A 17,705-nucleotide genomic window follows, 5' to 3' on the forward strand; every position below is an offset into this window, starting at 1 on the left:
AACATATCCAAAAAATAGAAATTGACACCTCTTACACCTACAGAATGACTGTGATGAAAATACAAAAAAAAAAAAATGCCAGGTAACTGGAATTGTCATTAATTGCTGGTGGGAATTAAAATCTGTGCAATTACTTTGGAAAATGGTTTGGCAGTATCTTCTAAAGTAGAACATATGTGTGTCTTATGGCCTAGCAATTCTACTTCATATCTCCAAATAGCATGCACTAAAATGTTCATAGCAGCACTATCAGTAATCGTTCCAAACTGGAAATTACCCACATGTCCATCAACAGTAAAATGTGTAGGAAGAAAAAGTAATTTTTCCTCTACCCTTCTGAGTTCTTGGCTGGGATATCTGCAACAAAAGACAGGTTAACAAAGGAAAAGCAAATGGAAGCTTATTAACATGTATATTTCATATATACATGTGACATACCGAAGAAATGAGTAATTCTCAAAGAGATGAACTAGAATTTTAGTTTATATAATATCTTTAGTTCAAAGAAAGAAGGAGGCAAGTTATGGGAAACTAATGGTAGGTAAAGTCTAGTTAATAAAGGTTTGTTTTGTTGATTCCTCTGGTTCTGTCTCCTGGCTTATAAAAGTCTAAATTTATCTTTGGTGATCAATCTTTGTTTTTCCTGGTAGAGGTGGAAGGGAAGACATGTTTATAAATATATGCCCTGCTTTTAGGCAAATGTGGGAGGACAGAAAGTTTTTCTTGTATCTGCTTCTTCTCAATTCCCTTCAATTCAAAATAACCCTTATGCCAAAATGGCAGATTTTGGGGTGACATACTTTGCTACCCTTCAAATGAGTAAATTAATTTTGATAGAATCACTGACTGAATGGTGTAACAGCAATGAGATTAACAAATTATAGCTGCATGCAACAAGATGGAAAAATCTTAAAATATGGAAAGATGGGAGTGAAAGACACAAAAAATTACGATTCCAGTCACAGAAATTACAAAACAACACAATACAAAACATCCCAACAAAACGTATCTACCTATGCTGTTAAAAGTGACTGTAGTGGTGGTCCTTATAAGAAGAGAGGGAGCGCCTCTGCCCAGCCCCCATGCCGTCTGGGAAGTGAGGAGCCCCTCTGCCAGGCCGCCCCACAGTCTGGAAAGGGAGGAGCCCCTCTGCCTGGCCGCTGTGCAACCCTCCAAGTGTGAAGTGCCAGCCTTGTGTGTGATCTTTCTGCCCTCCCCAAGTTTGCATTTTTGACATTAAAGTTTACTTTTAAATTAACAGTTTTAAATTGGAAAAAAAAAAAAAAAGAGAGGATGATCATGCCTGGAGAAGTGAGGGGGTTTCAAGAGTACTGGCAAGACTTTCTAACTGTAATGACGCTCTCCTCTTCACTCCTCTCCTTCAAGCTGCCATTACCTTTTACCTAGACCATGAAGAGAGCATCTTAACTAGTTTTCTTCTGTTCTTTGCCTACTCACAAACTATTTTCCACTTCATCACCAGGGTGACCTTTTTACATATAAATAAAATTGTGTCCCTATCTTGTTTTAAACCCCTTCTGTGGCTTCTCTTTACACTCCAGATATTTCCCAAAGCTCCTCATGAACTGAATGGTCCTGCATGATCTGTTCTCTGCCTACCTCTTCAAGATCACTGCCTACCATCAAAGCTCCACCATACTGGCTCTTCATTTGCTTCCCAAGCATGCCTGTTTTTCTTCTGTCTTTGCACTAGTTATTTGCCCTGCCTAAAATCCTCTTCCTCCCTAAATCTTTATGTGACTGATTCCTTCATACTATTTACCTCTCAACTCAAATATTACCTCCTCAAAGAGACTGTCTCTAATCTATTGCTCCAAAAGCAGTCCCATCATACCCATACCACCAGTGTATTTCCACCATATTATGTATATGTATATGTATATGTATATGTATGTGCATATGTATATATATTTCCACCATATTATATCATGTTGTCTTTTTCAGAGCACTTGTCATTATCTGAAATTTTGCTAATTTGTGTGTTTGCATATACATTGTCTGTCTTCATTCATATAATATGAGGTCCGTAAAAGCTAAGACTCTTGTCTTTTTGTCTGGTCTACTGCTTTATCTCCAGCTCCAAATACAGTGGCAGGCACACAGAAGATGTTCAGTAATTATAGAATAAATGGAAAGCCTTAAGAAACTTTAAGGGTTTAAGAGCTCAAAATGTTGAACAGAAATTTTCTTGGAAAGAGGTAATGGAATGAATGTTAATTTGGAGAAAACTGAACAGGCAGGGAACTTAGGGTAGAAAAAAGGTTGGGGTTTGAGCAACTTGGAGAAGTATAAAGCTTAAAGAGAGATAGTAGAGTGGTCCAAGGTAGCTCGGAAGTGTAGGCAAACTATTAAGATCCATTATAAAGAATTTGGATTTTATCTTTCATCTTAAGGAAAACTACTGGAGGGCTTTTAAGGTGAGCCCTAACGCATTCCTACTGATACTTTTAACAGATTACTTGGCTGCTGGTTGAAAGAGGAAGGTCAACTTGAAAGGTGGGCCTTAATGAAAGATGATGGCAGCTTGAATTAGAGGCTCATAAGAAATATGGAGAGAACTGGATGGATTTATGACCTGTATCGCAGGGAAAATATTTAAATTTGCTGATAAATTGTATCTATGTAGGGTGTATGGTTAATGGAGAGGAAGAAGTCAATTATTTTTAAATTTCTCATTTGGGCTACTGGGTAAATGCAGCAAAACTTGAGTAAAAATATATCTCAATCTTTATATCCTTGGAGTTTTATGGGTTGTATAAAGCAGTTAACAAACATAGGTCAAAGGAGTAAGTGAATAAATAAATGAATGAATGAAAAGTGCAATGCAGAGAAGAGAGAGTAAGATGTAATCACTATTTTATACTGTTTAAGGGAAGCATATCACTATACAGGGTCCTATGACAGGTATTATATTTTATTACATTTTCACATAGTTAACACATTCACACCTATGTAATGTAATGGTTATACTTATGAACTTAAATACTTTTAATATATGAAAAAAGTTAGCCTTGGCGGTCTCCAGATTCCATGAAGATTAGTAGTACTATTCCTCCCAGATCCTTCTTACAACAAAAGAACTTTGGGTATATGTAGCAAACAAACATAGGAAGCCTCCAAAATGTAGAAGGAAGATGTTCTGCCTAGGGATCTCAGAACTTGAGGGAAGACATAGCAGTGGGTCCACTGGATTTCTTAGTGCCTTCCGTATATCCTGGACAGGGAGATCCAGAAGCCTCCAACCCCAAACCTCCAATAGACATGGACACACAGCTCCAAAGAAAACCTGTCCCTTTAGCCAAGAGACATGAAAAAAGATTGCCTGACAGCAGATTTTTTTTTTTTGCAATATCCTCCCTAGTCCAGCTAAACACCAATAAAAAACCTCATTCATCCCAAGGAAGTAGGGAAGAAATTTTCACTCCCCAATAAGATGGTGTTGGAGTATAAAGCACAGTCTGACAGAACCAGATGGTGCCCTGATTCCCTGCTAGGGTAGTGTTAGCACTAAGCAGGGCTGTTTGTCTCTTTTTCATGCTAGTACCATACTGTTTTGATTAATATAGCTTTGCAATAAAGTCTTAAATCAGGAAGTGTGATGCTTCCAACTTTGTTTTTTATTTTATGAATTGTTTTGGCTATTTGGGGTATTTTTGGCTCCATATTAATTTTAGGATGGATTTTGTTACTTACATAAAGAATGCCATTGAGATTTTGATAGGGATTGCATGACTCTGTATATTGCTTTGCATAGTGTGGATATTTTAATAATATTAATTCTTCCTGTCTGTGAGTACAGAATATTTTTCTATTTATTTGTGTCTTCTTCAATTCCTTCCATCAATGCTTTATAGTTTTCAGTCTATAAGTCTTTGGTTAAATTTGCTCCTCAGTATTTTAAATTTCTTAATACTTTTATCAGGAAATATAATGGGATTATTTTCTTTTTTTATTTATTTATTTATTTTTATTTTTTATTGATCATTCTTGGGTGATTCTCGCAGAGGGGGATTTGGCAGGGTCATAGGACAATAGTAGAGGGAAGGTCAGCAGATAAACAAGTGAACAAAGGTCTCTGGTTTTCCTAGGCAGAGGACCCTGGGGCCTTCTGCAGTGTTTGTGTCCCTGGGTACTTGAGATTAGGGAGTGGTGATGACTCTTAACGAGCATGCTGCCTTCAAGCATCTGCTTAACAAAGCACATCTTGCACTGCCCTTAATCCATTTAACCCTGAGTGGACACAGCACATGTTTCAGGGAGCACCAGGTTGGGGGTAAGGTCATAGATCAACAGCATCCCAAGGCAGAAGAATTTTTCTTAGTACAGAACAAAATGGAGTCTCCTATGTCTACTTCTTTCTACACAGACACAGCAACAATCTGATTTCTCTGTCTTTTCCCCACATTTTCCCCTTTTCTATTCAACAAAACCGCCATCGTCATCATGGCCCCTTCTCAATGAGCTGTTGGGTACACCTCCCAGACGGGGTGGCAGCCAGGCAGAGGGGCTCCTCACTTCCCAGAAGGGGCAGCCGGGCAGAGGCGCCCCCGACCTCCCGGACGGGGCGGCTGGCCGGCTGGGGGCTGCCCCCGCACCTCCCTCCCGGACGGGGCGGCTGGCTGGGCGGGGGCTGACCCCCACCTCCTGGATGAGGCGGCTGCCGGGCGGAGACGCTCCTCAGTTCCCAGATGGGGCGGCTGCCGGGCGGAGGGGCTCCTCACTTCTCAGACGGGGCGGCTGCCTGGCAGAGGGGCTCCTCACTTCTCAGACAGGGCGGCCAGGCAGAGACGCTCCTCACCTCACAGATGGGGTCACGGCTGGGCAGAGGTGCTCCTCACATCCCAAACGGGGCAGCGGGGCAGTGGCGGTCCCCACATCTCAGACGATGGGCGGCCGGGCAGAGACGCTCCTCACTTCCTAGATGGGATGGCGGCCGGGAAGAGGCGCTCCTCACTTCCCAGACTGGGCAGCCGGGCAGAGGGGCTCCTCACATCCCAGACGATGGGCGGCCAGGCAGAGACGCTCCTCACTTCCCAGACGGGGTGGGCGGCCGGGCAGAGGCTGCAATCTCGGCACTTTGGGAGGCCAAGGCAGGCGGCTGTGAGGTGGAGGCTGTAGCCAGCCGAGATCACGCCACTGCACTCCAGCCTGGGCAACATTGAGCACTGAGTGAATGAGACTCCATCTGCAATCCCAGCACCTCGGGAGGCCGAGGCTGGCAGATCACTCCCGGTTAGGAGCTGGAGACCAGCCTGGCCAACACAGCGAAACCCCGTCTCCACCAAAAAAATATGAAAACCAGTCAGGCGTGGCGGCGCGCGCCTGCAATCACAGGCACTCGGCAGGTTGAGGCAGGAGAATCAGGCAGGGAGGTTGCAGTGAGCCGAGATGGTGGCAGTACAGTCCAGCTTCAGCTCGGCATCAGAGGGAGACCGGGGAGAGGGAGAGGGAGAAGGAGAGGGAGAGGGAGAGGGAGAGGGAGAGGGAGAGGGAGAATTATTTTCTTTTTTAAGTAGGTTGTGATTTCTGTATAAAAATGCTCCCGATTTTTGTATGTTAATTTTGTAACATGTAATTTTATTGAATTTCACTTTTAGTTCAAACAGTGTGGAATCTTTGTGGTTTTTTAACATATAGGATTATGTCATATAAAGACAGAGATAATTTTACTTCTTCCTTTCTGATTTGGACAATTTCTTTCCTATACATATTAAAAATGAATATGTGGAAACTGAAATTAAAGGATGAATACCATGTATAATCTCTCTAAAGAAAATGAGATACTTAGGTATAAATTTAACAAAACATGTACAGGAACTGTATGCTAAAAATTCCAAAATGCTGATGAGAGAAATCAAAGAAGACTCAACTAGATGGAGAGGCACACCGTATTTGTGGGTTGGGAGACTTAGCATAATGAAAACGTCAATTATCTCCAAACTGATCTATAGGTTTATGCCATTCCTATCAAAATTCCAGTGAGGTTTTTTATAGACACAAACAAATATATTCTAAAATATATAAGGAAAAGCACCCTAGAATAGCTAAAACAATCTTGAAAAGGAAGAATAAAGTAGAAAGAACCACTCCACTTGATATTAAGTTCTACTATATAGCTATAGCAATCACAACAGTGTGTGGTATCAGTGGAGGGACAGATAAATTGATCAACTGAACACAGTAGCGAATTCAGATGTAGACTCACAAAAATATGCCTGCATTCATCTGTTGTGTGTTGCTATAACAGAATACCACAAACTGGGTAATATATAAAGAAAATAAGTATGTTTCTTACAGTTGTAGAGTCTGGAAGTCTAAGGTGGAGGAGATCACATTTGCTGTTCTTGCTGTCATTTCATGCTAGAAGGTGGAAGGACAAGTGGGCACAAGACTGCAAGGGGGCCAAACTCACTTGAAACAAACCCAGTCTGTGATAACTAACCCAATTTTGTGATACTGATATTAATCTATTCATGAAGGCAGAGCCCTTATGATCTAATCACCTCTTATTAGGCCCGCCTCTCAATACTGTTACATAGAGGATTCAGTTTCCAACATTTGGACTTTGGGGGACACATTCAATCCATAGCAACACCAAACTTACTTTTGACAAGGGTGCAAACACAATTCAATAAAAGAAAAGTAACCTCTTGCACAAATCATGCTGCAAGCCAATGGACATCCATAGACAGAAAATTTAAACCTTGGCCTAAACTTCACACCTTTCACAAAAATTAACTCCAATTGGATTGTGAACTTATATTTAAAACATAAAGCTATAAAACTGCTTGAAAAATATAGGAGAAAATATTTGGATCTAGGACTAGACATAAACTTATTAACCTTTACACCAAGAGTATGGCCCATAAAACAAAAACCTGACCAACTGAACCTCATCAAAACTAAAAACTTTGATCCTGCAAAGACACTGTCAACATGTTGAAAATATTACCACAGACTGAAAGAAAATTGTTTCAAACCATATTACCAATGAAAGACTAATATTCATCACAAATTAATTATCATCATCATAAATATATTAAGGAATATTAACACATAGATGTTCATTAACATATTAATGAATATTAATATAGAGAACTCTCAAAACTCAATAAGAAACCCAATTAGAAAATGGACAAAAGTATGAAGAGACATTTCACTAAAGGGGATATACAAGTGGCAAATAAGCATATGATAAAATATTTAACATCATAACCATTAAGAAAAATGCAAATTAAAACCATGAAGAGGTATAATCATACATCTATTAAAAGTGCTAGAATAAGAAATAGTGACAACACCAAATGCTGATGAGGTATGGAAAAACTGGATTTCTCAAGCATTGCTGGAGGGAATGTAAATGTTGAGCTATTTTGGAAAACTGATAGTTTCTTTTAAAACTAAACATTCAACTACAATGTGGCCCAATCATTGTACTCCTAAGCATTTATTTCAGAGAAATGCACCCTTATATTCACAAAAAGCCTGTACATAGTTGTTTATAGAAGTTTTATTTGAAATAGACAGAAACTGGAAACAACCCATATGTCTTTCAATGGGTGAATGTTTAAATAAACTGTGATACATCCAAACCATGAAATACTATTCAGCAATAGAAAAGAATGAACTACTGTATTGATACATGCAATAACTTCGATGGATCTCCTGGAATTATGCTGAGTGAAAAAAGCTAATTCTAGTAGGTCATATACTATGTGATCCCACTTCTATGACATACTTGGAATGTCAAAATTATAGAAATGAAGAGAAGATTAGTTGTTGCCACCTGTTGGGGACAGCGTTGGAGAGATGGAAGTGGTTGTGGTTTAAAAGGCAACACAGGGAATCCTTGCAATGATGGAACTGTTCTGTATTGTTCTGTATCTTTACTATACCGATATCAAAATCCTGTTTGTGGTATCATACTAGAGTTGTGAAAGATGTTATCTTTGGGGAAAAATAGGTAAAGGGTATTTGGCATCTCTCTGTACTATTTCTTACAACTGGATGTCGGTCTATGCTTATACAAAATAAAAAGCTTAATTTTAAAAAGGTAGCATTGGAGGAAAAAAAAATGTTCTCCTAAAGAATATTCCAGAATTCCAGAGTTAAAGAGAGTGCATCTACGTAATGGAGAAGGGTTCAACACTGGTTCCTGAGTGCACACTAGAAAAAAACTAGATGACAATAGGCAACGTTTGGGGAGAAGATTGTGAACATATGGTTTTAAGAATTATATGTGAATTTGGTATGAATAAAATAGGATGGTAAACAAAAATATTTGGTGTACATTCTGAGAAAACAAATATGCTATCATGTACAAATACATAAAAAAGAAAAAATGACAAGACATTTTATTGAAACAGAAAAAGAAGATATAAGAGGAAATAATAAAAAATTACTTACTGTGATTATATGAAATGCATTAGCTGAAGCTTAAAGGATAAGAAGCCAGCTAGACTGACAAAGGGACAGAAATGAAGAGGGTATATGTTCTAGTTAGAGGAATAACAAATGCAAAGCCCAGGGCTGTGACTGAATGCTTGAGGAAACGCCACTAATTGGGTGTGACTGAAGCTGAACATGAGGTGTATTTATAGAGGTTACAGAGCTTCCCAGAGCAAAGAATTGTCTTGTAAACCATGCTAAATAGTTGGAAGTCTATCTATACTTAAAGTGGTAGGAAATTATTGGAGAAATATATATCTTCGTCTACTTGCTATCTCTTATTCTCACCCTTCCTGCTTGTTTCTTTCCTTCCTTCCTCCCCTCCTCCCTCCCTCCCTCCCTCCCTCCCTCCCTTCCTTCCTTCCTTTCTTCCATTTCCATGCCCTCTCCCATCTTCCCCTCCTCTCTTCTTCTGCATTCTTCTCATATTATTTTCTACTATTCAGTAATACACTAAACTAGGCACCAGAAGTGCAGAAAAAAATATGGCTGCTCTAAGTGCTTACAGTCTAGTAGAAAAAAGTACACATGCAATTAGCTTATTATCTTTGGAATTTTTTTTAAATTTTGGTGACATAGAAATGAAATATATTAAGCCCTATAATGTTTCAGCCTCTGTGCTTAACATGTTGCCTGTGGTATCTCATTTTATCCTCATAGAAGGAAAAAATACATGTAAGCATATTAACATATATATAAATACTTTTTATAATTAAAACTCTGTGGAATTTTGTCCATGAGGTGTTCAAAACAGTCTAGACATCTTTCTGTTGTGAGTACTCCACTGAAACCTTAAGGGATGCTGCAGTCCTTGACTGAATGAAATTGTCAGTTTCCATCTATTTCAAAAGTTCTATAATCAGATGGAAGTGATAGTGAACTCTTGCACTATTCTTAGATGATTTAAATATGATATATATTTTTTGAAAATAGAAACCAATGTTTTACCACATCTTCTTATTAAAAATGCCATGCCATTCTCTCTGGTGTGGTGATGGCTATGCTCATGCCAGGACCAGCTTCCCAAAGAATCATTTTACGTGGCTTGCCTAAGTTCCGTAGGAATTTCAGAGGCTTAAGACCTTCTTTTGTTCTGGTTTCAGTCGTTGCATAGTTGTGTTGGTCATAATTACACGGAAGTTTAAATGGGGTTAAATGCCCATATGTGTATATATTTACATACATGTATATAAAATTGAATCATCCTATGTCCACAGCAGTCATATCTAACAAAATAATAGAATTTGAAGAAATCCAGGAGTCCTGCAAATGACTGCTGGTGCCCTGGCACATGGAATTCAGAAAGAAAAAGGCAGCGTTATTAAAGGATTCTTGAACATTTCTAGGACCAAGAAATGTTCCTTGGTGTGAAATGTCATGTTTCTGTTTCCTGAAAACTGTATCCTCAATGGGAAAATTTTGATTCATTTTGCTACAAAATGCTTTACTAAATCAGTGATATTATCTCTAAGCAAAATTCTGTTAAATTTTGGTTTATGATTAATTGATGAAAGTCAATACATCATAGAATGTATCATTAATATAGAGCAGTGAAAATTAATGTTGTAAATCTTGATACTCTAGTATAACTTTTGTCTCCACTGAAGCAAGTACCTTTATGCTTGTGGGTCTCTGTTTTCTGCTCTAAAAAATGAGGAAACTGGAAACAGTGACTTTTAAAGTGTGTTTGATGTCCCAAGAATCACTGAGTCAGGAAGAGGGTACTGTGTTCAATGGATCCCATTTTCTGAGGTCGGAGACTCTCTAGGCTCTAAAGACCAGAGCCCACTGGGTGGTCAGATGCAAAAGAAAAGTCTGATTAGTAATCCTATTCAGCCTTATGATTGTGTCATGGCTGATGAGGGGTTCATATCAGACACAATCTCTAATTTATAAAGAAGCACCTCTAGACCACGCATTTCTGAAAATCAAATCATCCACCCTTTTACAGAAGCAGAAGCAGGAGTGGGAACAGAAGGAGAAGGAGAAGAAGAAAAGAAGAAGAAGAAAGAGAAGGAGAAGAGAGGATTAAACAAAGGAGTGTCAAAGTTATGCTCATGCATAGTGATCATAAAGGCAGAGATTTTTTTTTTTTCATTCTATGAACTGTCTCATTTTGGAGAAGTCTTCAGAAACTACTTTGCTGTAAGAGATTGAGAAACCAGATCCCTTACACATTTGTGAGATCACCTGATCTGAAAGCATGTTTCAGCCAGGGTGGCTGCTACCTCAGAAATTCAAATATCGTGTAGACTAGAACTTTTTAAGAAAATCTGAAAGAAGCTGCCAATCAATCTAGTTTCTATAAATCCCAAAATAGAATTTCAAAAGTCTAGTCAGATTTTTAGGGTAGTGAAACTATTCTGTGTGATACTTTAATGGCAGATACATAATCATTATATATTTGTCAAAACCCACAGAATGTATGACACCAAGAGTGTACCACAAAGTTAACTATGGACTTTGGGTAAAAGATGTGTCAATATAGGTTTATTAATTGTAGCAAAATTCCACTCTGGTGCAAGATGTTAATGGTAGGGAAGCTGTGTGTTGGGGCAAGGGGTTATAGGGCAATTCTACTTTCTGCTCAGTTTTGCTGTGAACCTAAAACTGCTCTAAAAGATAAAGTTTAGTTTCTTAAAAACTCTACCATGACTTCTTCTTTATATACGAGCAAATAAAATGTTTTCACTAACTGAACAAATGCTTATAAAGCACCAACCATACATAGGTCTGTAGGCTCCATGGAGCAGGAACCAATTTCCTCAATGCTATTTCCCTGTCGTTAGAACAGTGTCAGATACAGAGAGAGCATGCATGTATTCAACTGAATGGTGAATAAATGCACGCCTACGTTCATGTATGAATACAAAGGAACTGTGATAGGTGTTTGAGATACAATGGTGAATGTGAGATCTACTTTCCACACTGTCTTGGCAGAACAGATAGAGGCAAGTTCACTTTCAGTTGTGACCAACAACTTGAATGGAATCAGGTTGTGTGTGTTTGTGTGTGTGTGTGCACATGTGAGTACATTTGAGTGACAGATAATCATATTTAGGGCAAGAGTGCATCACAGATGGGCTTCTAATTTTTCAGATGACATCACAGATACAAGGATTGGATGCCATGGATTAAGGAAGGCTCTCTACAGTTTAAAAATATCAAATGGAGATTACTGAGATGAAGACTAGAGTTATTCTTATAACCAAGGCAACTAAATTTCTTTCCATTATCTCTATGTGTTGGGATAACTTATATTGTTGCCCTGGAAATGAGTAATATCTGTCTAATGGTGCCAAATGGGAAAACTGTATCCAAATTAGTGCAAGAGGCCATAAAACTGTCACACTCTGCTCGAAATCATTTGTATCTATGTGACAAATTTCCAGGAGTTAGGTCTTAGTGATGTTGAACTCTATTTAAGCAATCCCAGGTGTACAGTTCCAGTTTTAACAAGCTTATTTGCTTATGCTTCAGCTTAAAATTTCATTTAACATAATTCATAAAAAACTTTAAAACTACCAGGGTGTTAAACATTCCAGTTCTAATAGATATTCTAGCTCTAATTGAAATTAGAACAGACTCTAGTTTCTTTATTGATGCACACAAGGAAACATTCTAGAATGTATTAATTTGTACCTTATTAAGTTCCAACTGTAAACATTACCTTACTATTCTATACTATTTTTTCTTAACAGTTCTATTATTAGCTTTATTTTTCAGCTGAGGAATCTAAGGCAAAGATTGACTCAGCTAGAAACAAACCAAGTGTCATATCCAGAAAGAGACCCAATTTGTATTAATGTTAGAACTGACAGTCTCTTTGAAGGCAGGAAATATGTCATTTTCTCCAGAGAATCCCCTCATTCCCTAGCAGCATGCTCTGAATTTAATTGACTTGAACCAAGCACCAGATAACACTATATTCTCAGAATGAAGTAAAAAATATTGACCTGGACACTCATGATAAATGATGATAAACGAATTGCTTAGCTGAATTTCTGTAAAAGCCATAAATGCCAACCAAATAACAACTATGACTTTAAAAAATAGTTTAAATTTTTCATGTTGTTTTGATTTAACATAAAGATCCAAGAAAATTTATCAAACCAGTGATATGAATACAAAATATAGAAACCTGGAAAAATTATAGAATTTAAGAACGAGGCCACCATAGACATTTCCTAATGCTTGTGAGGCTTCCAAGTTCATGTCTGATTAATATTTTATCTGTTATTTAATCATTTCATCATTATTTAAATAAATTATATTTATTGAGTATTTTGGTCACCAATTAATGGTATGTAGTCAGCCACTAATGCTTGTTTGAGTTTGTCAGATGCTATGCTGACAAACTGGCAGCCTAGTTTGTTAGTGCTTATATCAGAGATGATGTGTTTGAGTCCAGCTTAAATAAAACAGCTTGTTAGTAGTAGGAAAGAAAGTTTCTATACAAAACTTTTCTTCACTTATCCAAGACCCAACTCTGAACCACTGTGGTTCATTCCTTCACTTAATACTATGTCCTAGGAACTCTTCCAGGCACTGGACATACAGCCGTGAAAAAAAAAAATTAGAGTATCTGCCTTTCCATGAAGCTCACATTTACATGGGGGGAAAACAAATAAATAAATAAGAACAAATATCTATATGATGTCAGATGATAATAAGCATTACAAGGAAAAAAATAAAGTAGGATGGGGATCAAAGAATGACAAATACGGTCGTTTAGAAAGGGCAATAAGGAAAGTGCTATTGTGGGGAAGGTATTGGAACAGGCGTCTGGATTAAGTGAGTAAATGAGTTATGTGAATATCTGGGAAAAGAATTCTCAAGTTAGAGAATGGCAAATCAAAGGCCTTGAGGTGAGAGCTTTCTTGGCATGGTAAACGAATTGCAAAAAGGCCCAGTTTGGCAAGAGAGGAAATTGTAGAAAATGAAGTCAGAGAGAGGCCAGGTGATATGATTTGGATTTGTGCCCATATCCAGATCTCATGTTGAATTGTAATCCCCAGTCTTGGAGGCGGGGCCTGGTGGGAGGCTATTGGATCAGTGGGCTGTACCTCATGAATGGTTTAGCACTCTCCCCTTGGTGCTAAGTTCTCATGAGGTCTGGTTGTTTAAAAGTGTGTAGCACGTTTCCCTTCTCTCTATTCCTCCTGCTCCAGCCATGTAAGACATACCTGCTTCCACTTTGCCTTCCACCCTGATTGAAAATTTATTGAGGCCTCCCCAGAAGCCATCATGCTTCTTGTTCAGCCTGCAAAACCCTGAGCCAATTAAACTTTTTTATAAATTACCCAGTCTCAGGTATTTCTTTATAGCTGTGCAAGAACAGACTAGTATACCAGGCATGGTGGCTCATACCTGTAATCCTGGCACTTTGAGAGGCCAAGGTAGGAGGATTCCTTGAGCCCAGGACATCAAGACCAGCCTGGGCAACATAAGTGAGACTTGGAAAATGCAAGAAAGCAAGAAAGGAAGGAAGGAAGGAAAGAAGGAAGGAAGGAAAGAAGGAAGGAAGGAAGGGAGGAAGGAAGGAAGGAAGGAAGGAAAGAAGGAAGGAAGGAAGGAAGGAAGGAAAGGAAGGAAGGAGAAAAGAAAAGAAAAGAGAAGAAAAGAAGAGAAAAGGAAAAAAAAAGTCAGAAAGGTAAGCAAGAGCAAAATAATGGAGTCTTGTAAACCATAGTAAAGATTCTGGATTTATTTTTTCTAAGTTACCTGGAAATACGATTAAGGATTATTATTTTCCAGACAAACTATACATGTGTGATAGGCAAGAGAGGAACTGATATGGTGTGGCTCTGTCCCCACCCAAATCTCATCTTGAATTCCCACGTGTTGTGGGAGGGACCTGGTTGGAGGTAACTGAATCATGGGAGCAGGTCTTTTCCATGCTATTCTCATGACAGTGAAGAAGTCTCATGAGATCTGATGGTTTTACAAAAGGGTGCTTCCCTGCACAAGCTCTCTTTTCTTATCTGCTACCATGTAAGACATGCCTTTCACCTTCTGCTATGATTGTGAGTCATCCCCAGCCATGTGGGACTGTAAATCTATTAAGCCTCTTTCTTTTATAAATTGCCCAGTCTTGGGTATGTCTTTATCACCAGCATGAAAATAGGCTAATAAGTTGGTACCAGCATTGCTGAAAAGATACCAGAAAATGTGGAAGTGACTTTGGAACTGGGTAACATGCAGAGAGGTTGTAACAGTTTGGAGGGCTTACAAGAACACAGGAAAATGTGGGAAAGTCTGAAACTTCCTACTGGCTTGTTGAATGGCTTTGACAAAAATGCTGATAGTGATATGAACAATAAGGTCCAGGCTGAGGTGGTCTCAGATGGAGATGAGGAACTCATTGGGAACTGGAGCAAAGGTGGATCTAGTTATGTTTCAGCAAAAAGCCTGTCAGCATTTTGTTCCTGCCCAAGAGATTTGTGAAATCTTGAACTTGAGAGAGATGATTTAGGGTATCTGGTGGAAGAAATTGCTATGCAGCAAAGCATTCAAGATGTAACTTGGGTGTTGTTGATGGCATTCAGTTTTATAAGGGAAGAAGAGCATGAAAGTTCAGAAAATTTGTAGCCTGACAATGTGATAGAAAAGAAAATCCCATTTTCTGAGGAGAAATTCAAGCTGGCTGCAGAAATTTGTATAAGTAACCAGGAACCAGATGTTAATCCTCAAGACAATGGGGGAAATGTCTCCAGGGCATGCCAGAGGACTTCACGGCAGCCCCTCTCATCATAGGTCTGGAGGCCTAGGAGGAAAAAGGGGTTCTGTTGGACCAGCCCCAGGGTCCTTGTGCTGTGTGTCATCTAGGGACTTGGTGTTCTACATCCTAGCTACTCCAGCCGTAACTAAAAGGGACGAAAGTACAGCTCAGACCATGGATTCAGGGGGTGCAAACACCAGGCCTTGGCAGCTTCCATGTGGTATTGAGCCTATAAGAAAACAGAAGTCAAGAATGGGGTTTGGGAACCTCCGCCTAGACTTCAGAGGTTGTATGGAAATGCCTGGATGTCCAGGAAGGAGTTTGCTTCAGGAGCAGGCTCTCATGGAGAACCTCTGCTAGGGCAGTGTGAAAGGAATATGTGGGATTGGAGCTCACACACAGAATCTCTACTGGGGAACCATCTAGTGAAGCTGTGAGAAGAGGGCTATCATCCTCCAGACCCCAGAATGGTAGATCCACCAACAGCTTGCACTGTGTGCCTGGAAAGCTGCAGACACTCAACACCAGCCCATGAAAACAAATGGGAGGGAGACTGTACCCTGCAAAGCCACAGAGTTGGAGCTGCCCAAGACCATGAGAACCACCTTTTGCATCAGTGTGACCTGGATGTAAGACATGGAGTCAAAGGAGATAATTTTAGAGCTTTAAGATTTGACTACCCCGTTGAATTTCAAACTTGCATGGGACCTGTAGCCTCTTCATTTTAGCCAATTTCTCCCATTTGGAATGGCTGTATTTAGCCAATGCCTGTATTTAGCCAATGCCTATACCCCATTGTATCTAGGAAGTAAATAACTTGTTTTTGATTTTACAGGCTCATAGGTGGAAGGGACTTGCCTTGTCTCAGATGAGACTTTGGACTGTGGACGTTTGAATTAATGCTGAAATGAGTTAAGACTTTGGGGGAATGTTGGGAAAGCATGGTTGGTCTTGAAATGTGAGGACATGAGATTTGGGAGGGGCCAGGGGCAGAATGATATGGTTTGGCTATGTCCCCACCCAAATATAATCTTGAATTCCCATGTGTTGTGAGAGGGACCTGGTGGGAGGTAATTGAATCATGGGGCAGGTGTTTCCCATGCTCTTCTCATGATGGTAAATAAGCCTCATGAGATCTGATGGTTTAAAAAAATGGTAGTTTCCCTGAACAAGCTTTCTCTTTGCCTATTGCCATCCATAAGATATGACTTGCTTCTCCTTGCCTTCCACCATGATTTTGAGGCCTCCCTAGCCATGTGGAACTCTAAGTAAGTTCATTAGACTTTATTTTATAAATTGCCCAGTCTTGGGTATGTCTTTATCAGCAGCATGAAAATGGACTAGTATAGGAACCAAATAATTATTTGGCTATTCTGTAATCTTTGGGGAAATGATGGTAATGATGTTGGAATGGAGATGTAATAAGTGGTTGGATTTGGAATATATTTGTCATCATTAGAAACAGTAACAAGGAAGGTTTATGATATCCATGTTTCTCAAGATGAATTTTCTACTATTAGCTCAGACTTTTAGAGTCAAAAGGCACAAAATTGATCAGTCCCATTGCTGTACTATAGCAGAAACCATGGTGTATAATATAGAGAGAATTTATATAGAGGAGTGAATCTTAACAAGGAGAGAGAAAACCCTTTCTAGTTTACCAACTAACAAAGCTAGCTCCCATCTACAGAGCAAAGTAGAGGGAAGCAAAACTTACCTAGTTTCTGTTTTTTCTAAAGCTTTTATTTTAGGTTTAAGGGTACATGTGCAGGTTTCTTATACAGGGAAACTCCTGTCACAGGGGCTTGTTGTACAGATTATTTCATCACCCAGGCACTAAGCCTAGGATCCAATAGTTATTTTTCCTAATCCTCTCCCTCCTCCCATCCTCCACCCTCAAGTAGAGCACAGTGTGTGTTGTTCTTCTCTTTCTGTCCATGTGTTCTCATCACTTAGATTCCATTTGTGAGAACACGCTGTATTTGGTTTTCTATTTCTGTGTTAGTTTGCTAAGAATCATGGCCTCCAGTTCTATCCATATCCCTGTAAAGAACATGATTTCATTCTTTTTTTAATGGCTGTATTGCATTCCAGGGTGTATATGTGCCACATTTTTTTTTATGCAGTCTACCATTGATGGTCACTTAGGTTGATTCCATGTCTTTGCTACTGTGAATAGTGCTGCAGTGAACATACACATACATGTGTCTTTATGACAGAACAATTTATACACCTTTGGGTATACATCCAGTAATGGGATTGCTGGGTCAAATAGTAGTTTTGTTTTTAGCTCTTTGAGGAATCGCCACACTGATTTCCACAATGGTTTAACTAATTTATACTCCCACAAACTGTGTATAAGTGTTTCCTTTTGTCCACAACCTTGCTAGCATCTGTAATTTTTGACTTTTTAATAATAGCTCTACTGACTGGTATGAGATGGTATCTCATTGTGGTTTTGATTTGCATTTCTCTAATGATCAGTGATACTGACCATTTTTTTCATATACTTGTT

The 17,705-nt window shown here is 39.1% G+C and overlaps 1 long non-coding RNA gene across 1 annotated transcript in view, besides 1 other annotated feature; it reads left to right on the forward strand.

Moving 5' to 3' along the window:
• Positions 1-17,705, forward strand: part of PLPPR5-AS1 (PLPPR5 antisense RNA 1) — a 144,577-nt gene that overhangs the window by 69,710 nt on the left and 57,162 nt on the right. The window lies entirely within an intron of this gene.
• Positions 3,902-4,437: an enhancer, noted in NCBI's record as "NANOG hESC enhancer chr1:99543443-99543978 (GRCh37/hg19 assembly coordinates)". NCBI's record gives its function as "activates a minimal SCP1, AML or CMV promoter by ChIP-STARR-seq in naive H9 embryonic stem cells {active_cell/tissue: H9 hESC(naive)}" and the evidence as "EXISTENCE:reporter gene assay evidence [ECO:0000049][PMID:30033119]".

This window comes from Homo sapiens, chromosome 1 (assembly GCF_000001405.40).
Source record: "Homo sapiens chromosome 1, GRCh38.p14 Primary Assembly".
Taxonomy (NCBI): Eukaryota; Metazoa; Chordata; class Mammalia; order Primates; family Hominidae; genus Homo; species Homo sapiens.